The 24,913-nt window shown below is 44.7% G+C and overlaps 1 protein-coding gene across 19 annotated transcripts in view, besides 4 other annotated features; it reads left to right on the forward strand.

Annotated features, from left to right (window-relative positions):
• PRKCE (protein kinase C epsilon) overlaps positions 1–24,913 on the forward strand; it is a 536,712-nt gene that overhangs the window by 221,636 nt on the left and 290,163 nt on the right. The window lies entirely within an intron of this gene.
• Positions 17,433–17,582: an enhancer, noted in NCBI's record as "active region_15696". NCBI's record gives its function as "activates an Ori minimal core promoter by ATAC-STARR-seq in GM12878 lymphoblastoid cells {active_cell/tissue: GM12878}" and the evidence as "EXISTENCE:reporter gene assay evidence [ECO:0000049][PMID:35858748]".
• Positions 21,097–21,269: a silencer, noted in NCBI's record as "fragment chr2:46121150-46121322 (GRCh37/hg19 assembly coordinates)". NCBI's record gives its function as "represses an EF-1alpha promoter that drives an FKBP-Casp9 reporter gene in an ReSE screen in HepG2 liver carcinoma cells {active_cell/tissue: HepG2}" and the evidence as "EXISTENCE:reporter gene assay evidence [ECO:0000049][PMID:32094911]".
• Positions 21,097–21,298: a biological region, named in NCBI's record as "ReSE screen-validated silencer GRCh37_chr2:46121150-46121322".
• Positions 21,239–21,298: a silencer, noted in NCBI's record as "silent region_11444". NCBI's record gives its function as "represses an Ori minimal core promoter by ATAC-STARR-seq in GM12878 lymphoblastoid cells {active_cell/tissue: GM12878}" and the evidence as "EXISTENCE:reporter gene assay evidence [ECO:0000049][PMID:35858748]".

A 24,913-nucleotide genomic window follows, 5' to 3' on the forward strand; every position in this document is an offset into this window, starting at 1 on the left:
GTGCTCAAGGAGAGCATGACACCTGGGAGCTGGAAGGGTCCTTAGTGGCTGCCTGGCACAAATCCAGCATCTTCTGAAGGGGAAAGTCAACCACATGGAAACAAAGGGATATACATTGAGTCAGCTGGAAAGTCTGAACTAGAGCCCAGGTCTGCTAAGGGCCTACCCAGATATACTTCTTTAGAGTGTTTTAAACTGGAGCGATGGCTCTCACATATACACACTAGACTGTCTTAATATTGGACGGCCACTTCCTAGTCTTCCAGCCTAATTCCTGGAGTGAAGCTTAAGACAGTCCATGAACTGTCTGCCACTGGTCAGTAGAAAGGTAAAGCAGGAAGACCAGAAACTGAGCAAAAGCATTTAGAAATTCTCATGACAACTCCTAATTGCCGCAACATCCTAAGGCAACATCAGTAGACTTGTCTTGTTGAGCAGAGAATGGAAAAGTCTGGGTGTTGTTGATGTCACATGGTGGCTTGTTTGTGGTACAAGCTGCATACGAGTCAGGCGTACCAAGACCACATAGATAGTAGACTGCAAAAAAAAAAAAAAAAAAAAACAAAAAAACCTGAGTCCTTCACCACAGATAGGTTGAGAGGTATGGCCCCAGCATGGTGCCTTCTGAGATGAACCTTCAGCAAACACTTGTTAGACGTAAGTGTAGAATCCTGTATTCCTTTTTGTGTTTAAGATGCAGGTACTCCCCTTTGCCAAATGAAGTCAGCAGTTTACCTTTGCTCCTTTGGGCATCCCAGCTGCCTCCTCACTCCTCCCGGAGATCTTTGTCTCCACTCTCCCATGTTCCAGGAGACAGCTTGTCTCTTGCCTCAGTGTCGGTGTGTTCCCTGAGAGCAGTCCTCCCTGTGAGCCTCAACCTGTCTTAAAGTGTGAGCCCAGCAGTGTTTACCAGAGGATGCCTATAACCACCCACTCCGCCCCAAAAAAACCAACTGAGTCTCTTGTCTTGGCATTTCAGGCCAAGGAGGAGAGATATTTTGGTTTCACTTAGGCACTGAGCTATTTTAGAAAGAACAGGAGTTCTGGCAGGAGACAGATCTTGGACAGACGCCATTTACCTTTTTGAACATTTTCTCTGTAAAATGGGGCAGTGTTCCCCACCTCATAGCAATGTGAGGAGGGTTAGATGATATAGTGCTGTAAGGTGCCCACAAGGGCTGGTGCTGAAGAGATTGTCAACACAAGTTCTATGAAGTCACACCATGTAGGTAACTTTCTACTTATGAATCCAGACTTACCCCAAACTTCCATCTCTCACACACTCAATCAGAGGCCTATGTGGGAGTCCCTTTTCTCCTGGTTCCTCCCTTCATGGCCTTGTCTGCCTGCAGGAATATTTGGTCAACATGCTGGATCCCAAGTTGTTGAACCAGCTGCTGGTGAAGAAGGGAAGTGGCTGCAGGGGCTTCGTGATGACGCTGGCCTGCCCTGAACTTGTGCCTGTCCTCTGGCCTCCTGTCCGGCCATCCTCAGGCTGAGGGAGGAAAGAGGCTGCTGAGCCTGGAGTGAGCTGCCAGCTACCAAGAAGTCCCTCCCACATTTTGGCAGTGGCTCTCCCAACTTGGCAACTGGCTTAGAGGCAAGTGACAGCCTTCCCAGACTCCCTGCCTCCTTCTTGTCTCACTCTCTGGCTTGGGTCTTTAGAAGAGTCACATGGGGAGGGTGTGGCCATGGGGTGTGTCAAATATCCAGCTCAGGTGCACCACCTGTTTTATTTCACAACAGTGCCATCTTCATCCTAGCCTTCAGATTCTTAATTCCTGGTGATTGAAAAGCAGCTGGTGGCTTAGGAGTCCAACAAGATGCAGCCCACTGTTTCCAGAGAGGATTCTTGCTTCCTGCTTCCTGCTTGCTGCTGGCACTTGATCTCAGATTTCAGAATATGCCACCAAACAGCTAGCAGTGGGGATATTTGGGAATGAAGTGCCTTATTCTACTTGCCTAGTTCTGGCCTATTTTTATTTGGGGGTATAGCTTACGTCTATTTGGCCTACATTCCAATTAGGTAAGATTATCCTGTTTTTCTCATTACGGAAAGGGGAAATGTAGATGTCGACATACTAAATATGAAGAGTGTGTATGTGTAGATATACACATACCCACATTACACACATGCATGCAGGACCCCACCAGGTGCCTCCAGTCTCCACAGGTACCCTCAGATGCTACAGGAATAGAGGTTGTGAATGGTATGGGCATGAGTGACCCCTTTTAGGCAGTTCCAGGTGAGACTCGGAGTGAAAATATTGCAGTGCAGTCTGGGAGAAGAGAACCAAATGAATACTTTCTTGTAAATTAGTAGAGACCATTATACACTTGAACCCAAGGTTCAACCAGCAATGTTAATGGTAAAACTTCCACAGCATATCTGATCTGTGTTAGCATTTTCATCTATTGCCTTCAGGCATCACAATTTAAAGCCTGCTAATGCAATGTCCACAACCATACTGAAGACTCTTCAAGTTGGGACCTGTTCTGGTGTCACATGCTAAGGAGGATGTTGAAACATCAGAGTCCAGCTCTGGAGGGACCAGGAACAGGGGTCTGGAGGCTTTAACAGAGGAGAGTCTGTGGCAGAGACACCTTGCATGTATCAAGCCCTCTGGGCACTGATTTACACATATGGGAAAGGAGGCTTGTATAGAAGAGGGATTGAGTTTTTTGTTGTTGTTGTTGTTCTGCCTTGATCAGGAAGACAGTAAAGACCAGTTGGGGGTAAAATGTAAGCTCAAGATATTTTGCCACTACTAAACTGGCTGCTTTGTTGGGGTGGTGAGCTCCCATCCCTGGAAGTGTTCACACAAATGTCAACTAATCTTTCACCTAAAAGGGGCTCCAGCAGTGCTTGGGTGGTTGGACTAAATGAATTTGTAAACTCATCACAGACGTTTTAGAAAACAAATGATGGATCTCCTCCTACTTGAAGGTTCTGAGCACTTTTCCTAAAGTGCTAGGCAGATGTCCAGTCCTCAGAAAATGCTAAATAACTTTATTAATAGTGCAGATGACGGGTTTTAGAATTTCAAAGTTAAGCTGATTTCTGAAGAGGTTTAGCAGCAGTGGGAATAATCTTCTATGGGGGCTAAAAATCTACATCAGCTTCCCAGATTTTGGTCTCTCCATCTTGGGAGTGGAGAATAAGAATTCTCATTTCTTTGGACATTACTGAGTACCTGTATTTAAGATAATAAAATATTACAGTGGCTCTGGTCTCCCTGCTTCCATCTCCCCTTATTTCATTTTCTAAACAATCTTGCCTAAGTGGTTTTAAATGAAAATCTCGTCAAATCACTTCCTAGTGTAAAATCCTTCAGCATTTCCCCATCTGCAAACTATAAATCACAATTCTTTTATCAGAACACAAACCCTCTGTCATCTGGCTTCTCTGGTTCTTTCCAAGTCAACTCCAGCTTATCTTTGCCTCGCATTTCATACTCCAGCCACATCACTTCCCAATGATCCCAAATGTTCTTTATTATTTGTACTTAAAAGCACTAGCTCTTTGTATTTGTGTTTAAATTTATAGTCTTGCAACTTGTGGTCATACACGTTGTCTCCTGTGCCTCCTCCAATACTTTTCAACCATTTGGGGGTAAATCCCACTTTTTAATTTTTGCCTAACCCTGTATAGACTGGTCCAGCCTACCCTGCAGGCTTGATTTGGGCTATATTTCCCGTTAATCTTTACCCCTCACCACACTGATCTCCTGTCAGTTCAGCTTCCCCACTGCTGCGCCTTTGCAGTCACTCTCTCTTATGCCTGGATAGCTATCTTGGCCAGATTGACAGCTTCTCATTCTTTATATTTTACCTCATCTCTTATAAACAGCATACTGTTAGATTTAAAATCCAGTCTGACAATCTTTGTCTTTTAACTAGAGTATCTAGTCTATTTACATTTAATGTAATTACTGATATATTTGGGTGTGTAGCCTAATCTGGCTTTTTTTCTTAACTTTCTTGACTTCTTTTGAATTGAATTTAAATTGGTTTCTTCATTTACTAGTTTGAAACATGAGCATTCTTGTTATCCTTAGTGACTACTTTGGAAATTACCATTTAAGTATTTATGCCTACTTATAAAATTAAAGTTAACCAGAACTTTTACCTTGTTTCTGGATAATATAACCACCTTTTATTCTTGCATGGTTTTATTTGTTTGTTTGTTTGTTGCTAGTATAGGATTCTAAGTAGGGAGTTATTTCCTTTGAGCACCTTAAAGGTAACATTCCACTGTCTAGTATGGTTGCTGTTGAGAAGTTAGCTGTCAATCTGTTACTCTTTTAAAGATAAGGTCCCCTCACCCCATCTCTTTAAGATTTTTATTCTTGTCTTTTTGTATTTTAATAATAACATATTTAGGTATGGCTTCTTATTTTTTCTTAGAGTTCAGTGGACTTTTAAACTTACATATTATCTTTCAAAAGTTCGTTATCTCTTCTCTCTCTGGGATCCTGATTAAATATACTCCATCCTCTTACTCTTTCTTCTACGTTTTCTATCTTCTCCTGTATTTTCCATCTTTTTCTTTCCATAGTTTATTCTGAATAACTTCTGACTGATTAAGTCTCTTTCTGTACCTAGTGTGATATTAAACTGTTACATCGAGTTTTTAAATTATGGTACTTTTAGTTTTTAGAAGTTCTATTTGGTTCTCTATAAAATATTCTAGGTCACTATGTTTCCTGCTTCTAATATATTTCTAAACTTTAAAAAAAATTCTTTAATATAAGTGTGGCTATTTCATAGTCTGATAATGCCAACACCTGAAGTCTTTTGTTGTTCTTATGGTTTTCAGCTGGTTCTTGCTCATGGTTCCCTTTGAAACTGATCCAATAGCCCCACAGACTGTTCTTTTTGATTAACATAATTATTCACCCTTCTGGTCTTAAAGCTTGAACCTTACATTTGTTTTATCTGAGTTCCTTCCTCAGGAAAGGACCTTCACGCCTCTCAAAATATCAAAGAACAGGAACTTCACCGAATCACCACATCCAGACAATGAGATGCTGGACTCCTCATTCATCATGATTGCATCCTTGCCCTTCCTCAGTTCCTGTTTCTTGCACATTGTTGCTTTTCTTCCCTGCTATTATAAACCCTCAGTTTTAGTTGGTCAGGGAGATGGATTTGAGACTGAGCTCCCATCTCCTTGGCTGCAGCACCTGATTAAAGCCTATCTTCCCTGGCAATGCTCATCACCTCAGTCATTGGCTTGCCATGTGGCGAGCAGCAGAACCTAGACGAAACCCCTGGTGTTTCGGTAACACCTTGTTTCCTTGTAGACTTGGTTGTCTTTGGACTGGTTCATTGTGCTTGGAAATCTTATCTGGACCTGTTATGAAGGCATCCTCCTCTAGTGTTTGCATCTGCTTAGGTGCCTGGTAGTCCACAGCCACCTTATAACAAGTTTAGGGCTTGAATATCTCAAGTTACAAATCTACACAAAGGTTTATTTCCAGTCTACTCTTATCCTGAGTCTGGGCCTAGTATACTCAGGGGGGATGATCTTTCACTTGCGCCTCATCTTTGAGCGGGCTCTGATCTTTTTTATCTGTCTTCCTAATCTTAAAAAATCTTCCAAACTTTAGGGCAAAAGTGACTCCCTGGGTTCTCACTGTTATTCAATTTCCCTAGATCTTCACTACTATCTTGTCTGTATTTTACTGCGTTAAAGAAGATTTTTAACAATTTTTTCTAGCATTTTCAGGGGTTGTTATTTTTAGTGGTATAGTTGACTCAAATAACCTACTCTGCCATTGCCAGAGCTAGAGTTCTCACTTTTTTAAAACAGCAGAATAAAAAGCTTTAATACCAAAGACATAATAAAGAACAATCAATGAAATATGTTTAGCTTTAAAAGATGCACTTATTTTTCTGTCTGTTTCATTAGTGTTTGCTCCATTTCTCCTCATGCTGGCAATTGAAAAGCAAAGTTTGCTCTTGCTTTTTTAAAATCAACTTTCTCTCTGTGGATTTGCCTATTGTAGACATCTTTTTAAATTGACATAAAATAATTATGATAGGGACAGGACGCAGAGAAATTCTAGACGGAAAAGGGCTGGGTCCCTGGTAAGGGCCCCACCCTCAAGCCTGGAACTACGGCAAAAAGTGAGAACTTTACATCCTCGTTTTCCCACTCGAATGTTGCCTTTTCCAAAGCACCCTGGCCCACCCTGCCCCTGCATCCTACACATAAAAACCCCAAGCTCCACTGGCAGAGAGCAGAGAAGGGGGAAAGAGAAGAAGCAGCTGAATGTCAGAGAGAAGCAGCTCGACTTCAGAGGGACGGCTTGATGGCGGGACTTCGAAGAAGAGTCCAGCCGAGGATGGCCAGACTTCAGGGGAAGAATACCTTCCTACTCCATCCCCTTTCCCGCTCCCCTTCCTGCTGAGAGCCACTTCCATTGGCAGTAAAATCCCCCACATTTACTATCCTTCAATTCATTCATGTGACCTGATTTTTTCCTGGACACTGGACAAGAGCTCAGGATACAGAAAGCTGTCACACTGACCGTCTCCCCTTGCAAAAAGGCAGAGGGTCCACTGAGCTATTAAACACTTAAGCTGTCCCCAGATGGCAAAGCTAAAAGAGCACTGCCTGTAACACATGACCTCTGGGGCTTCAGATGTTGCAGGTACTCTCCACTAGATGCTGCCACAGGGCCCGAGTGGAGTTTTGCTCCTGCTGGCACTCAAAAGCACTTGCTCTGGCTCATGAACCCTCTCACCTGCCTGCTCCCCCTCCCACGAGGAGTTGAGAGCTGTGGGCTGAGTAAGGGAGGCACTCCTGTCACGAGGCCGTGAAAGGGTCAAGGGAAATTTCCTGTTTCAATTACGCATATTCATAGGGTACTGGTGATGTTTTGATACATCTATTGTATAGTGATCAGATCAGGATAATTAGCATATCCACAATCTCAAACACTTATTTCTTTGTGTTGGGAATGTTAAATATCCTCCTCCTACCTATTTGAAATTATATATTAACTATATTAATTCTACAGTGGTGTAGAATACTAGAATTTACTCCTCTAACCTAGCTGTGATTTTGTATCCTTTAACAAATCTCTTCCAAAACCCTCTTTCCCTTACCCTTCCCAGTATCTAGCATCTTCTTTTCTACTTTTTACCTCTAGGAGATCAGCTTCTTTTAGCTTCCACATGAGTGAGAGCATGCAGTGTTTAACTTTTCTGCTCCTGGCTTATTTCACTTAGTGTCCTCCAGTTGCATTTACGTTGCTCTGCAAATGACAAGATTTCATTCTTTTTTATGGCTAAAGAGTGTTCCGTTATGTGTATGCACCACATTTTCTTTGTCCATTAATCTGTTATCAGACACCTTGGTTGATTCCATATCTTGGCCATTGTGTCTACTGCTGCAGTAAACCTGGGGAGGGGGATACAGATATCTCTTTGATATAATGGTTTTCTTTCCTTTGGATAAATGCCCATTAGTAGCATTGCTGGATTATACGGTAGCTCTATTTGTAGTGTGAGGAATGGAGGACTCACTTTGAATGTCACCTCTTACAAAGAGACTTGGCCGAGCCCAATCTTATCTTAGGTCTCCTTGTTTTACACTTTTATAACCCTATTTTTTTCTGCTTGGCATTTACCTCAATTTGTAATTTTATGTATATTTTTGATTAAGACAGTCTGTTTACTCCCTGGACAGCAGTGTAAAAGCAGGGAGTATATGTATACCAATGCCTCACACAGTGGCTAGTTCATAGTAGGTGCACGACAAATATCCGGCCTCTAGGAAAGAATGCAGCAGAGTATTTGTATGGGGATTGGCCAGATACCAAAGACTACTGTGGTTTGAATACAGTCTTATTAAGAAACACTACTTGTCACTTTCGTTATCATAGATCAGTAAGTACGAACTAGATATTAAGGACTCAGAACAGTTCTTTTAAGATTTCAGGGTGTAGGCCGGGCGCGGTGGCTCACGCCTGTAATCCCAGCACTTTGGGAGGCCGAGGCGGGCGGATCACGAGGTCAGGAGATCGAGACCATCCGGGCTAAAACGGTGAAACCCCGTCTCTACTAAAAATACAAAAAATTAGCTGGGCGTAGTGGCGGGCGCCTGTAGTCCCAGCTACTTGGGAGGCTGAGGCAGGAGAATGGCGTGAACCCGGGAGGCGGAGCTTGCAGTGAGCCGAGATCCCGCCACTGCACTCCAGCCTGGGCGACAGAGCGAGACTCCGTCTCAAAAAAAAAAAAAAAAAAAGATTTCAGGGTGTATTTGCCTTCAGAGCCTGCAGCTGGTATCTTAATGAGCCCACCTTCTCCTGCTCTGTAGTATCTGTCTGGAGAAGCAGAGCCATGAAATTAAGGCAATCCATATATAGAACATGCTGTGTCTAATTTAGTCTTCTACAGGCTGGAAAACAAAGGATGAGACAAGTGTTGCAATCCAGGTGGACACATCTTAAAACACTTAGATGGACACATTTTAAATGGAATTTCTAGGCCTCATTACCATTTTTGGATATAATGGTACTTAAATGTTATTTAAGTACCCAAGTCAGAAATTTATAAATATAGTGATTGCAGTTAAAATATTTTATATTCAAAGTGCTTCATAGGTCCTTAATATGCACTAAATCATATAAAAGCCAACTCTTACATAGTGCTTACTATTCCCCAAGAAGGATTTTAACTATGTGATGTTTATTCTCTTAATTATCTCAGCATCATTATGTGGTAGGTGCTATAGTCATCCCCATTTTTACAGATGAGGAAACTAAGACCCAGCACGATGGAATGACTTGCCTAAGTCACACAATATGAGGTAGAGCCAAGTTGCAAACTCAGCCCTTCTGGCTCTGTGTCCTTAATCTTACTCTTTACTATTGAGGGAACGAGATTGAATTTTAACTAGCTGCCCAAGGCTATCCAGGGCTCTGTGTAGTTGTGCAGGTTAGCTAGAAACTAGAAGCTCAGTGGTAGCTCGAAGACCCCTGGAGCATGTGGAGCTCTGTGTGTTGTCATGACAGTAGCCTAAGGAGACATTTCCTTGCCTTCCATTGGGTTTATGAGCTTTCCAAAGCGCTGATATGTCAGGTCTGACTGGCCAGGGGGGAAAGGTGTTTCTGTAGAAAGGCATAAACTAAGCATGAGTTAATATTTTAAAAGTTTAGAAATGAAATTAAGGTGTTATAATTGTTTTTTCTGCTTTGGTGACTTGTCTTACCTACATGTTTTCCTTCCGATATCATGATGTCATAGCTAATATGTGGCGACTGGGTTTCGAGTTTCAGGTTGAGGATGCCATGGTGATATACCTCCATGTAGAAGCTGTGAAGTTACAGCACCTTTGTTTTCATGTCAGTTGTCTTTTGATGCTGTCCTCCAAGACAGCTGCCGTATCTCTTGTAGCCATGTAGTTCTGCATGTGGGTTGCTATTAATATTTGTACACAAGCATCACACGTGGGTTAATGCAACATCCTTGCTCTGATGTCCGCAGTCTCATAGTAGTCTGAAGCCTCATTGGATGAGTTATTCTGTGGTACTGGGTCCTCCTCCATTGCTGGGATTGACAAATTCAAAGATGTCTTGGGGACATGAGTTCAACTACTCCAAAGAAAAATGATGTTTGGAAAATCATCACTGCAGAATAAACAGTTGTTGACTAGCTTTCTACTAGATGCTTTTCTTTATGGTGATATTTGAGTGTTTTTCTTTCCTGAGCTATTCAGAAAATTGGCTTATTCTCAATTACTCCTTGACCCTGGAGGCCCATCCACCAACGGAAGAGAAAGACGGAGAAGACAGGGAACAGAAAGGAGCCTGCCTTAAGAGCTGGAATCTGATTCCACTTGCCCCTTTGGGCCTGCACTCAACGTTTCTTAAATGTTCACGTGTTACCTCCGAGTCTGCCGATTCCAGGGAAGCTCTGGCTTCTGTCATCACCTCTGGCAGGACAAGCAAGCAGGCTCCCTGCAAAAGGACTTGGAAGCTAATAAAGCTGGCCGCTGCTTCGGAAATGCAAAGGCTTGACACGTGTTCATCTGGCAAAGCTGGACTGAAACCACACTCCCCGCAGCAATGAGTGGCGACGGCCAGTCGCTACTCAAATACTTGGCACTCTGGGCTTAAATTTTAGTTGGGTAAAAAATGGGAAAAAAGCCTTCTATCTTCAAATTCACATTGTAGTACTTCTTTGAGGTACTGACTCTCATTCCTGCAGCCAGCCATTCTGTATATTCATTCTGTGTGTTCACTGCATATCGATGCTGCCATTTGGGGACTTCCCTAAACAGATTGCTCTTGAATAGAGCCAAGTATGGATTTGGATTTTGTGGAGATTAACTGGTCACTGAGCTTGCATTGTCAGAAAACGGTAGTGTTGCAGCACAATCCAGGGAGGACTCTGAGGCGCCCTGCAGGGATGACCCTTGGCTGGCCCATAGTGTGGGTGAAGACCCGAGGGAAGCCCATTATAGCCCCTGCTGCTGGCTCAGCTGTGGCCAGTGTCTAATGGCCTTCGGGAGCCAACCACGGAGTCTGGAAGGCTCCTAGAGGTGAGTTCCCCGTCGTGCTGGGGGCACAGGCAGGGCAGAGCTACCCTTCTCCGCATGTGCCAGCCTAACAGGTCCCTCCCTCTTGCTCATCTGTGTGGGTTTTGCCTTTTTGGGGTGGGAGGCATTAAATGTATACTATAGTTCTTACACATTTACAGTTTTTATCATGCCTGTGTGGAGAGTGAGTCTGCACAACTACCATGCCATGCTACACTCCCTATATGATGTCAGTCAGTTCCTTAGGAAGAGGTTGTCCTCCCCGCCTGTCATGCTGGAAGGAAGGACAAATGGGGCTGGCATATCCTTTCTGCACAGCCACTGTGGGAACAGGGTATGGGTCACACACAGGCAGGAGAGTGTGTGGGAAACTCCCTTTTCTCTGCCTGGGGAGGGGCTTGGGCTTTGGGGAGAAGTCCTGGGAATCCTTGGAGCTTGCTTCCCACGTTGTCAATGCTTTGCAGAGCTGAGGTTTTTCCCTTACTGCAGAGTCGCTCAGAATCTTTGAGACTGCCCAAGGCCTTCTGGGGCACAGAGCTGGGTTTTTGGCAACTGCCTTGAGAGTGAGTGGCGTTGTGGACTGCCATCCAGCCCCTCCCTCCCTGTTACAGTTTTTAGAATACTTGTTTTTGCAAACAACCAGGACTGTTGTGAACATCTGTATCCTGAAACCAACACTGTTTCAGGTGGAGGGGAAAGTCTGGAGAGGCCTGGCATCTCAGCCAGGAGGTGGGGTGAGAGGGTTCTGAGTTCAGGTTCTGCCACTGGGCAAGTTACTCAACCTCTGAGTTCAGTTTCCTCCTTGATAAAATAGAAATGCTACTGTTGACTCACTTGTTGAAAGGATGCCTATGATAAAGTCTCCCTTTTATTGCTGGGTAAACCAAAACCAGAAGTGACCTGTCCAGGGTTCATAGTATGACGACAGGGTGGTGGTGAGGAAGGAGGCCTGGGTTCAAGACCAGATCTCCCTGTTCTGCAATCCTTGTGGTCTTAGGCAAGTCCTCCAATCTCTAAAGTCTCCATTTCTACGGAGGTAAAATGGGAGCAGTAACTGTGGCAGCAAGTGTCTTGTCTCGACACCTACGACAATGTTATAGGAATAAAGGGAGGCAGCACATGCCTTGTAAACTGCAAGGAATTTTGCAGCTGCAAAATGTTTCCACCTCTACAGCTTGTTGGTGACTGAGCCAGTCAACAATGAGCTCTTTAGAGTTCCTGGCCTGTGGGCTCTTAAAGTGATTTTTAAAACATGTTTTCATGGCTAGTTTTTCTTATGAAAGTAATACTTGCTCGTTGTAAAAACTTCAACCAGCACAGAGGGATGAAGAGCGAAAGACACCCTTTCTCCAACCAGTTCTATTCCCCAGAGGTGACTTCTGCTTACTTCTGTCTCCTTCTGGAAATTGTCTGCACCTGTGCATATACACACGGACACAGACACATGTCTGATTGTATAAGCTGCGTGTGATCTGTTATATGTGATCCATATATATATATATATATATATATATATATATATATATATATATATATTTGTTGTTGTTGTTGTTGTTTTACCAAGAGCTCAAGTGAAAATCCAGGTAGTTTTCAGTATTTTGATTACTAGAAACAATGCCACAGTGAGCAGAGGTATACTTTCTTATGACTTGGTCTCTCTGGATTTAAAACAAATGTTGAAAGCAGCTAGTGGCTCAGAGCTTTCAGAATTATCTTTTGCACTTGGCAGAATGAATCTTTCCCCAGAAAGAATTATGTTGTTAATACTGTGGTTTTCCACTGCTCCACCCAGTTAAATTTAATCACACCATGTGACTTCCAAATAAAATGATGTGTGTGTCTGGAGGGAAGGGACCTGACAAAGCTTCCTTTTTTTTATCGACCCTAGGGAACAGAGCAAAGCTCTCTTCAGAAGGCCTGGCTTTCAGAGACCTTCTGCCTGGGACATTTATATTCGCAGCCCATTCTCCAGTGTCCTTGGAGGAAGCTGCTGCTATTAATTGGGTTGGAGAGAGAGAGTGGCTATGTGTATTTTGATACATGTCTTCCTATACAAAACAAGCCTGGACCACTTCATTTAAAAAAGTTAATCTACATGAATTAATATATCTGTCTGATTGCCTCTGGTCTGGATGGCCATTTGGGCAGTGCATAATCGTAGCCCAGCCAAATTTCTCTGACTGTTGTTGACAACAGATAGGATTTAGTTCTCTAGCCAAAGCAAACACTTCATCCTAAAGTGAATTTTGGGGGTTAGGGCAACTCCTATGATTTCATATTGCAGTGTAAAATGGTTTCTCTTACAGTTAAAAACAAATCCACAAATTTGTGGGTTTTGGGTGCTTTGATTTTTGTTATTTTCCCAAAATGTTGTGTGTAGGATAATTTAAAAAGCAAAATCTTATTTTAAGTGCACGAGGGAGCCTCGGAGAAATCCCATGGAGTTGCTTTTTAACGAAGGCTCTTTTGACAATGTAAATCCAAGAATCAGGTGTGTAAAGAATGTTAGACCCACACCTCCCCAGAACGTGAATCTTTCCCACTGAACTCCCTGGTCAGTGTGGCCTCCTGCTCCTCCTCTTCCTCCTCAAGAGGCCTACCTGGGCTGTCTTGCCACTGACCCCACGTTTGCTGGCAGGTGGAACTCTTACCTGTCCGGGCCATGGGCTCTGGGCTTGCTTCACATGCTGGACCATTTCTGTTCTTGGCCTTAGAATGCATGGTGAAGTGCTTGCAGGACTGTCCTCAGCCCAGGGAGCTCTGGCTCCAGGTGACTCTCATTTCCTCTCTGTCAACTGTCCCAATTCCTAACCCACTCCCACTCTGAGCTCCGTAGCCTGTGTCTGGCTGCTGTCTGCTTTCCTGCCTGTTCTGTCTCTTCCTGAGAACCCCTGCCCATGACCGTCTGGCTATCTTAGAGCACACTATGAGATTGTGTGAAGAGGATTTGCTTAGAGGGGACTTGGCATTTTAATGCTAGCAGTAAAACAAACCTGCCATGCTGACTTCTATTGCATTAAAAAGTGAAGCAACAGGCTTGCTTAAACATAAACAGCAACAGTAAAAACCCAGAACTACCTAACTACATGGGCACAGGAAATAGTCCAGCCATCTTGGAGAATAGCACAAAAATACAGCTGACGTGATAACAGTAACCCTGCAATGAGTCTTGACAATGCTGAAGTCAAATGACTTTTTCAAACCTTTCTAATGCTTGGCTATAATCTAAAGGAAGCATTGCACTTCGAGTGCTGATTTTTTATGAAGCTCGTAAACCTTTTTCTTTAAATGCCAATGTGCTGAAAAGTTATGAGTATTAAAGACTTAGAAAGTGCCTTTAAAAGTGTGGGAAAAGGTCCCTCTTTTCTTGATTATGATTCTTGAATGCTAGTAATGATAGTAGTAGTAATAAATGTCATTCTTCACTAGAATAGTTTTTTCCAAAGACCTTTCGGGTCTACTCTCAAGTTCTTTCCTATCTTTGTGTGAGGTGGACGATGTCACTAGCCTCACGTGGCAGAACGGGGTCAGAAGCTCAGAGTTTAAGTAATATGGCCTGGAATTAGAACCCAGGAGTATTGCTCCTTCTTGTAAACTCTGATGCCTGGGTTTTTACATGGTGTCTATCTGTAATGGCTTATAACAGAGTTGCTCCTCCAGAAGTTTTAGCCTCGTTCCTGCTTGATAGGCAGGGCCTCCCATTGGGCCTGACCCAGGATACATGCTTGGTTGCAGAAAGTCAGCTTTGCAGGTTATACTCTCAGCATTTTGGCCACAGTCAACCGTGCAGAAGGCTTCCTACCTAGATGGACAATAGATAGCGATCTGTGTCTGAAATTCCACAGCCATCAAGATGAAACTGAGAAGCTAGATCATCCTTGCTGGAACACAGATTGAGTTAGGGTGTAGGTCGAGGTTCAGTTGTAGAAAGCAGAATATATCACAGCAAACAAGAGGAAGGGATTTATTATAAGGAATTAAATGGCTTATAGAACTATGAAGAGTTCTGAAGACAAAGGTCTCTAGGTGGCGGTTTCAGGAATAAGTACCCCGGAACCACACTACAGAACTAGACCACCAAGAAAGCTGTTGCCACTCCTACAGATGAAGCCACTTCTCCAGAACCACATTGCAACAGCCATGATTGAGAGGGTCCCACAATCAGGAAGCCATGACTTTTATGGTTCTAGAACCATGCCACATCAGCTATGATCAGCATCTGCAAATGATGTCCTGGTCCTGCCTCCTGGAACCCACAAAGTTGGTACCTGGATGCTGCAACATTGGCTAAAACTGTCATAGAAGAACCAGGTGCCTCTTGGACTTTGCTTGCTGAGCAAATGGCAGCTACTGCCAAAATGTGGTCTCTGCCTCACTTTGGCGTTCTAAATTTCACAAAAGCACATCTAACTGGCCCAACTGAAATCATATCTGGAACTGCAGCTGCAGGGACTTTGAGAGTTGGCTTTAGCTTCCCATCCTCTGCCCACATAGGAGAGGTGGGCACACTAGAAGGATAGAATGTATGCTGGAAGCCAATCCACTGTTATCTCCCATGATCTGTGATCATTAGAAATGGACCTAGATTTCCAGAGTCAGCAGATGAAAACAGAACTGAGGTTATAGCCAGAACATGGAATCGTTGTGAATATTTTGGGGAATGTGTGTGTGGATGATCCCAGATATAACAGATGGCAAAGAATTAAAAGTGGCAAAAGGCGCTGGGTTTGTCCTCTAGCTCCTGCTTAGCTCCTTTGAAACTTGTTAAGCTGTAGTTGCAACAGCCCAAGGAGTTCTGGAGAACTCTAGTCTCACTGTGTATTATTTGGGGAAACAATATGTTAAGAAGCTGTCTTAATTGCCAAGCCTTTACTATGCTAATGTTTGTTGTGAATCTCTAGATGTGGATACAGCATACAAGGGTTCCCCAAACATTTGGCCACTGGAAAGCCTCATGCCTCATCTTTAAAAAATGCAGAAGTAGTATTTCCCAACAGTCTTTTTTTTTTTTTTTTTTTTTTTTGAGCTGGAGTTTCATTCTTGTCACCCAGGCTGGACTGCAATGGCGCGATCTCCTGGGTTCAAGCAATTCTCCTGCCTCAGCCTCCCCAGTAGCTGGAATTACAGGTGCCTGCCACCATGCCTAGCTAATTTTTGTAATTTCAGTAGAGATGGGGGTTTCACCATGTTGGCCAGGCTGGTTTCGAACTCCTGGCCTCTGGTGATCCACCCGCTTTGGCCTCCCAAAGTGCTGGGATCATAAGTGTGAGCCATCGCACCTGGCCAGAAATACTCTTCCAAAGAGCAAGCCAGGGAGTACTGTGGAGAAAAGGCTTGTCTGATTTCCAGGGAGTTAACCTTTTCAATAGCCTCCATCAGGAATGTTTACTGTCAAGATGATAAGATTTCCTCAAGTACAGATGGTGCTCTGCCCTTCAAGGAGAATCAAAAGTGGGGAGACCTTGACCAGCAAAACCAGCCCGTGTGGGGTTCTCTCAGGAATTCAGATGGCCTGAGACTTATCCTGAGATACCCCCAAAGAGGTAACCTGTGATCATAATTAGAAATTACAACAAAATACTAATTATCTGTAGACCACATAGCATTTGGGTTGCTCTGTTATAGAAGCAGATGGTGTTACAGAGAAGGAACTGCATTTAGCTTAAGAAAAATAGGGGCAGCTGGGGCAGGAGCTCAGCGACTAAGAGTATACCGAGTTGGGGGAGGGAAACACGCTGTGGGGTGTGAGTGCAGGAGAGCTGACAGCTGCAGTGGTACCACGTGAAATGTATGGAGGGCGGGAGAAAGCCGACTCCACCTTATAAGGACTTGCAGCCAGGACAGCAAAGCCCTAGAGACAGTGATGAGAACTGCACCAGGCATAAATGGTCCATAAGCGCCCTCCAAAAACTGGATGATGCAGAAGAGGGTGAGAGGACACCTTCAACGATGAACTTGTGTCTTATAGCAAATCTCCCACTGATTTTGATTTTCTACATTAATACTTAACAGAGTTTGTCTGTGGCATGTGTGTGTCATTCTCAGGCAAATCCTTTTTGAAGTTTCTGCTTAAGTATTTAAATGCAGTACTGGCTGTTGGTGGGGTGGGGTGGGGTGGGGGAAGCCCTCAAATCTGAGTGTACACCTCTGCTTCTTAACACTAGGTGTGTTCCCATAGGAAGTCAGGCATGCCTTAAATAGACTTCCCAGGAATGGGAAATGGCAGCTGCAGAATTACAGAAGTTGTATCTGCAGAATTATGAGCGTGCTTGTGGCTCCCTCCATTTTTATGTGTTCTGATTTAGTGAGCTTGATATTCTGGGACTGATACCAGCTTCATATGTACACAAAGGTCACGCACTCCTCCTCCAGTTAACCACACAGATTAACATGTGGGCTGCAACTGCATGAGCCGTGCAGAGGATAGAGTCACTACCCCTTCGCTCTTCTGTGCTCTTTAGGCTCAAATCCTCAGTGGTCAGTCCCTTATTGAAGTGCCTTTTTTCCCTGAAAGCACTCTAGTAAATGGAGGTTTAGCATTATTACTGAATCCCAGCTTTTTCTAATACATGGAGCTCAGTGCTTACTGTCTGTTCCAGAGCAATTACTTATCACCATTACCGGAGATTTGAGTCCTCTCCCTTGGTGATTAGACTCTGAAGGATAGTCGTTTTAATTTTGGTAGTTATGATTTAATCTTTTCAAGCTTTTATTATGGACAATTTCAATATCAAAAGCAGAAAGAATAATGTAGTTCCCATGGACCTATTCCTAGCTTAGTTATTACCCATGGCCAGTCTTGCTTCATCTGTACTTGTACCCATTTCCTCTTTCCCTCGGATTATTTTGAAACTGTCATAGAAATACTTCAGTACATAGTACTCTCTGTTCCTTCTGTTTCTCAGTATCTTTTCAAAACTTTTGTGTGTGTGAGACAGAGTCTCACTCTGTCTCCCAGACTGGATTGCGGTGGTGTGATCTCGGCTCACTGCAACGGTCACCTCCCAGGTTCAAGCAATTCTCGTGCCTCAGCCTCCTGAGTAGCTGGTATTACAGGCGCCCACCACCACACCTGGCTAATTTTTATATTTTTAGTAGAGATGGGATTTTCACCATGGTGGCCAGGCTGGTCTCGAACTCCTGGCCTCAAGTGATCTGCCTGCCTCAGCCTCCCAAAGTGCTGGGATTACAGGTGTGAGCCACCACACCTGGTCTTTTCAAAACTTTCTAAACATCATAGTAATATGTACTTAACTCATGAGGGGCTTTTCAGATTTTTGCCTAGAATGAATAAATTCAGATAGCTCTACAAGTATATGGAGTGCCTACCCTGCACAAGGCACTATGCTGGTTGAGGGATGGGTTAAGGTCAGATTTTGTTGGATAGAGTGGAATTATGCAATGGAAGTGGATTTAGAAGATGTTAGGCCCCTGTCCTGACAGCACGCATGGTCTAGTTGGACCTTGGAATGTTGGCTAACAGAAAGGAACATAAGTTAGGTGCTCAATGAAGTCGCTTGCTTTGTCTGCTCAGCAGAGCTGGAGGCTGTGTCGTCTGAGTATTTGAAGATGAGGGCTTTTAGGAAGGGCGTAGATATTGGGTTGGGTTTGATATTGTGGTTAGTCAGTTGTCAGCCAGCAGTGGAAAGTGAAAGTGGCATGTGCTTGAGCAAAGCTGGCCTAATGGGATATAGATTTACCCGACACACACTGATAGCAAATAGATTGTCCTTACAGCCTTTACCAATATAGAACTTTGATACGTACCATTCTGTTTGCAGAAAGAGCGACCAGAAATGTGCAGCAGTCAGTAATGTACCCCCTAGGGTTGCTGTTCATTCTGACTCAAGGAACTTTTTGGAAGCCCATTGCATAACTAAAAAAGAAATGGGCAGTCTGGTGTATTGTTGGCAAAGCACACCCTGCCATGCCACAGGAAAGTCGGCCCAAGTTGTACCACAAAAGCTGCCACCATTGCTCCCATCCTGATGCTGGCTATCACTACTGAATGCCTTCTCTGGGACTGAATCCTAAACCATCCCTGTGTCCTTTTCACCCCGTCAAGTTTCCAAGTCCCAGGTAGGACTGTGTGATCAAGGTGGGCCACACACCTAAACAGTGGGAGGAAAATTGTGTTGGACTCCTTCGGCTTCTGTAGAAGACCTGGGGCTCTGCCTTCCATCAACAATCATGCAATGGGGATCTTCCGCACGTAGAGTGGGGGTTTCAGTGCTAAGCCTCCAAATGTCCGCTAGGCATATCACTGTTACCTTGGGCTGCTTCCTCTCCCTTCTTCTCAGTCACAAGGCCTTGGCCCTCCTTAAAAATGCCATGTGCACCTGTTGTTCTTGCTTTTCTATTCCCATAGCAACCACGCTAGCCCAGGTGCTCCTCACTGTCAGGTGCCTCAGAATCTCTTGTACAGACTTGCTGCTTTCAGTGGCTCCCGTCCCCACGTCTTCCTACACAGTGCTGCCGCAGCATTCCTGTTAAGCAAAACAACACGGTGGCTCAAATCTAATATCTTCCTGTTGGAAGGCAAAGGCCACCTGCTTACCTTGGCCCTGCTCTCCACAGTTGACACCTGGCTTCTGTTTCCAGCTTCTCTCCATGTAAGCAGGTCCCCAAATGCCCTGTACCTTACCATCTCCACGATTGCTTTTCAATGGTTCTGTTTTCCAGAAGGCTTGCCCGTCTCTCTGCCCAACAAAATCTGTTCCACTCAGGTTCTGCTGACCTCCCCAGAGAGAGGTGACAGCTTTTTTGAGCTCCCATGGCCCAAGTGTGCATTGCTCAGTAAGCCCTTTCATGTCCCATGCCTGTCCACTTAGATGGATGAAGCCACTGGACAGCATTCAGCTGTTCTTTGTATTTCTCTTATTGCTTAACACAGTGCTGGATGAACGGGGCTCACTAGGTATTTGATACTTTCTTTTTTTTTCATAAGAGAGCAGAAGAAAAAAATAACTAGGAACAGGAAAAGTGAAGTGCATAAATCATACGTTGAGTGTTGACAAGCTGAGGACTTGAGGACTCAGGCAAGCTGGAGTGAGGGAGGAGGGGGACAAGTGCCTTTGGAAAGGCAGTGTGGTTAAGTTTGTGCTCTGTTTGTGTTACAGACCAAATGGAGTTGCCTTGGTTGTATGCTTCCCAGGTGTACTGAGTGCCCACCTGGTTTTAAAGGCTGCCCTGGCGGTGGCCCAGAAGCAAATGTAGCATCGTTTGCCAGAGACTCAAGAATGTGTCTGTATAAATAAAAGTGAAAGTGGCATATGCTTGAGCAAAATTGGCCTAATGGGATATGGATTTACCCGACACACACTGATAGCAAATAGATTGTCCTTACAGCCTGCACCAGTATAGAACTTTGATATGTACCCTTCTGTTTGCAGAAAGAGCGACCAGAAATGTGCAGCAGTCAGTAATGTACCCCCCGGGGTTGCTGTTGATTGATGACTTCTCAAGGGCAGCATCTCCACGGGGCTCAGGGAATTCACCGTGAAAGTCAGCCTGGGCCTCCTGCCCACTTTCCCATTGCCTCATTCCGCTGCACAGAGAAGTGTTGAAAGGGGCTCTCCAAGATGGGCTGACTGTTTGCGACCCTCACAGAACCCTGCAGGCCATATTCACAGCAAAGTTCACATGCAGAAGAATGAGAAGGGAAAGTTAGGAAGGGTCAGAGCACATGCAGCGCTCAGTTGAGTAGTTTGGTGGAAAGAAGTGGCCTGTTCCTTCAGAGAACTTGGGGAGATTTGGTGATAGAAGGGCATGACCTGTGAAAATGACTGCAGTCCGGCAGGGTCAATGTGATGGACTCACAGGGAGAGGCTGTTCCTCAGGATCATCTCCCACAGCACAGCCTGGCTCATGTCTTTTCTTTTCTTTTCTTTTTTTTTTTTTTTTGAGATGAGGTCTCACCCTCTTGACCTCTTGCCCTCTCGCCCAAGCTGGAGTGCAGTGGCGCAATCTCGGCTCACTGCAACCTCTGCCTCCTGGGTTCAGGCAATTCTCCTGCCTCAGCCTCCTGAGTAGCTGGGATTACAGGCACCCGCCACCACACCCAGCTAATTTTTGTATTTTTAGCAGAGACAGAGTTTCACCATGTTGGCCAGGCTGGTCTCCTGACCTCAGGCAATCCGCCCGCCTCAGCCTCCCAAAGTGCTGGGATTACAGGCATGAGCCACCAAGCCCAGCCTGGCTCATGTCTTTCTGCTTGGGGCCTCCCCCAGTGCCCCGCTCTTCCCACCTCATGGGCCACTCTTATTTGCCCACTCATTGATCCCCCTGCAAATACTCACTTGAACTGCAGAGTTTTCTTAATGAACAGCCAGGCTTCCCAACTATGCGGTGAGCTCCTGAGGACCGGGGCTGGTCTGTTCTTTGTATGCTGGAGGGCTCTTTGCACTGTGCCAGGCAGCATATAGGAGGCCTCCTGGAGAGGCTGGGGCTCTATGGCCACAATCCTAGCCTCTCTGTTTCCGGGCAAGGGACTTCTAACTTAGGTCTCAGTTTGCCCATTTGTAAAATGGATATAAATGTACCCCAGATTAAAGAGGTAATGTGTAATGCCCCTGGGCATAGGAGGCACCCAAACACTGTCCTGATCCCTTCCATACCCTGCAGCCCATACACATTGTCGCACAGGGTTGGCACACATTAGGTGTTCAATAGTGCATGTCTGTTGACTAGTGGTAATGAGAGTTGTTGTGGTATCAGTTTTCGAAGATCTCTTAGAGCTGATTTTAGCCAGCAAGCACTCAGTAGCAGAATCACTGGGGGCGGGTTGGGGATAGGGAGTGATTAAGGAAACAGGTTGTTTAATAAAGGAGGATTGAGGAAACTGATTACTTTGAGCAATGAACACCTGGTTAATGCCAGGTAGCGACATCTTAAGGGAAAGGAAGTTGAGTCCAATAAGGAAGCCAATAAAAATCAAGAGGATAAACTTAAGATAGAGGGCAAACTAGATGGAATGCTCTGGGGAGTAGCGTCATTTAGTTAACACTGAAGAATCTCTTAAGATGACACATCTTTGCAGGGTGTGAAGGAAGGTGACCTTGGGCAAGTTACTTAGCTTACCTGAAATGTGGTTGTCTTCACTCTAGGATGAGGGTTGGTGATACATTTTCTGGAGTGGACGTGAGGATGTGTTGACGGTGCATGTGAAACATTCTCCATGATGCCTGGCACACACACACAGTAGTTCCCTTCCACTTCCTCTAAAGTAGAAGAAAGTTATGTGTTTTGCCTTTTGTGTTTTTCATTTGTTTGTTTGCGATGGAGTCTCACCATGTCGCCCAGGCTGGAGTGCAATGACGCGATCTTGGCTCACTGCAACCTCCGCCTCCTGGGTTCAAGCAATTCTCCTGCCCCAGCCTCCCGAGTAGTTGGGATTACAGGTGCCCACCACTGCGCCTGGCTAATTTTTGTATTTTTAGTAGAGACAGGGTTTTGCCATGTTGGCCAGGCTGGTCTCAAACTCCTGACCTCAGGCGATCTGTCTGTCTCAGCCTCCCAAAGTGCTGGGATTACAGGCATCAGCCCCTGTGCCCCCGTTCGTTTGTTTTGAGTGAACACATAAATGTCATCAATGATTCCGTCTCTACCTGGGTAAACTTCAGAACTTAAGCATTAGTTGTGAGCATTTGGCCACGTGGTAGGGAGAATGAAAAGGCGCCCAGGTGTCTCTTGAGAAAGGAAGGAAGTTTTTTTCAGGCGGAGTGGGTTGGATGAGGCACATGTTTCTAGACTACTCTCCATTTTATTTTCTCACTTCTGGCCACTGTCGGTTGTAGAGGTGCCCCTTCAGTACACACACAGCTACGGTAACAGTACCTCTCCATCCACAGTGACTTATATGGACTTAAGGGAGTTTCAGTCGGGGAAGAAAGTGGGACTTTTTCATTAAAACAAGACTCTGCTATACAATGAGGGGAGGCCTAACTGCCTCTCCGCACCCTGATGTCATCTGGCTGGTCCCTGGATGGTGGGGATACATGGTACAGCCACCCAAGGCATGGCAGCCATGTGGTGATTTAAAAAGGAATTAACTGTTAGGACACCAGGAAGTGCTCAATTAATTCTTCTTCAATTTGGTTAGAGGAAAAAAATGCTTTTCTGAGTTTATGCAAAATGATCATGTTTTATTCATTTGGTAGAAGTCACTCTAATGGCATGCAGGGTAGATGATGTCAGCTTTTCCATCTCAGCTGAATCAAATTGTACGGAGCCCTTAATCTCTGCTAGGGGCTGGGGCAATCCAGTGGAAAAGGATGGTCTCAATCTCAGTGCAGTAGGAAAGCAGGAATCAGCTCAGTGAGGCAGGAATCTACGCAGGTGCGCAGGTGTAGAGGAAGTGCTGTAGGGCCGCAGGGGTTGGGGCTGTGATAGAGAAGGGTGGAGGATGCAGGCAAGGGGCTCCCAGAGGAGTTGGTGTCTGGGCTGTGGCTGAAGTTCACCGTGTGACACTGTCCACGAGGAAGGCCTCAGATGAAGGAGGGCACTTCAGGTAGAGCGTGGGCACTGCACAATGGTTGTCCTGGATGCGCAGGAGTGGGGTGGTCATCCACAAATGAGTGTTGCTAACCTAGATGTTGCCCCTTTGAGGTGTAAGCATATCTGGGTCTTGGTCCTTCAACCTGGCTGTGTTGCCTTGTCCGAGTCAGTTAACCTCGCTCTTTGTAGGTTGATTAAATGGTCAGTTATCCCTGCCATGCCTAGAGTGGTCTGTGTGGGGTCTAAGGGAAGAAATTTGAAAGGCATGGACTCTTTGCTAAATTTTAGAGGTTGGGTTCTTGCTATGTTGCCTAGTCTGGCCTCGAACTCTGGAGCTCAGGTGACCTTCCACTTCCTGACTAGCAGACCATACCTGCTTGTGCCATTGCACCTAGATGAAAGTCATGGACTTTACGTGGCTGTGGCTGGGAGGGAGTTAAAAGAGTTTTTGCTCCATTCTGTCTCCTTGGAAATACTGTTCCCAAAGGATGTTGCAACCATCCACATGCCTGTTGCCTGTCCTTCCCACTTTTGCTTTTTTTCTGAACTTCTCTTTTCTGACTTTTATATACTAGGTTTACATATTCGAATCAAGAAACAGGTTTTTCTGGGAAATGTGCGTAAATACTTACAAGACAAAAGGCAATTTTGAGTCACTATACCTCTTATCAAAGTAGCGCAGTGCATGTATACTTTTATTGGAGTAGATTGCAGAGAAAACATATGCAGTTGGCAAATAATCCTGAGATTGAATATGCTCTCCTGAGTAACCAACAGTGACTTAGGTGCGCAGTAGAGCTTCATGTGTAGCCTTTGAAGCAAGGACATATGAGAAAATGACTGAGGGTACCGTGGCTCATGCCTGTAATCTCAATGCTTTGGGAGGCTGAGATGGGAGGATTGCTTGAGGCCAGAAGTTCAAGGCCAGCCTGGGGAACATAGCGAGACCCCATCTCAATAAAAATTTAAGAAGTTAGCTGAATATTTCCGCCTGTAGTCCTAGCTACTTGGGAGGCTGAGGTGAAAGGATCCCTTGAGCCCATGAGTTTGAGGCTGCAGTGAGCCGTGAGTGTGCCACCACACTCCAGCATGGGTGACAGAACAAGATCTTATCTCTTAAAAAAAGAAAATTACTATTAATAACTGCATTGGTAGTATTAAATATAACATAATATGAAATATCTAAAACTGTATTACACACATACTCAAATTATCTAGAAAACTTCACTCTTTAGTTCAGTAAGTATAGGCATGAATATATTTCATTCATCAGTCCATCTATCGGCCCGTCCATTCATGTAATCTTGGCCAGCATTCCCAGACTGTATCTCCTGAAGGTGATGTAATATCTGTAGACCTGCGGACACTGATCTTCCTCAGGACACAGCCTGGTAATCACTGTGAGAGACGGCATCATTGCGAACTTGGAAATCAGGGCCCCTTTTTTGGTCAGGTTGCCCATCTTGTTTTGTGCTAATAGACATACATCATCTTTATTTTTTGTTTTTATTTTTAAAATTTGAAGAAAGTTTATGTAGGTCAAATGGATGAAAGAATAGTTAGTGTTACAGAACAGAATGCAATTGAGTATCTTTAGTGGGGTAAAAGGCACTTTGCCCATGATAATTGCCAGATGTTTAGAGGTGCAAGAGGAGATGGCACCCCATTTTTTATGGCTACATTTCAGTGGCTTTCATGACAGAGATTATTTGTTTCCTGCCTTGGTTGCAGCCCAGCTGAAGTAAGAGGAGTCAAGGTCAGTGTGGGGGGTACTGAGATGGAGAAAACAGCAATATGGTTTATGATTTGAGAGGAAATGTTTTCTTAGCCACTCACATATCTTTCCATGGTTCTTCCTGAAACTCC

This window comes from Homo sapiens, chromosome 2 (assembly GCF_000001405.40).
Source record: "Homo sapiens chromosome 2, GRCh38.p14 Primary Assembly".
Classification (NCBI taxonomy): domain Eukaryota; kingdom Metazoa; phylum Chordata; class Mammalia; order Primates; family Hominidae; genus Homo; species Homo sapiens.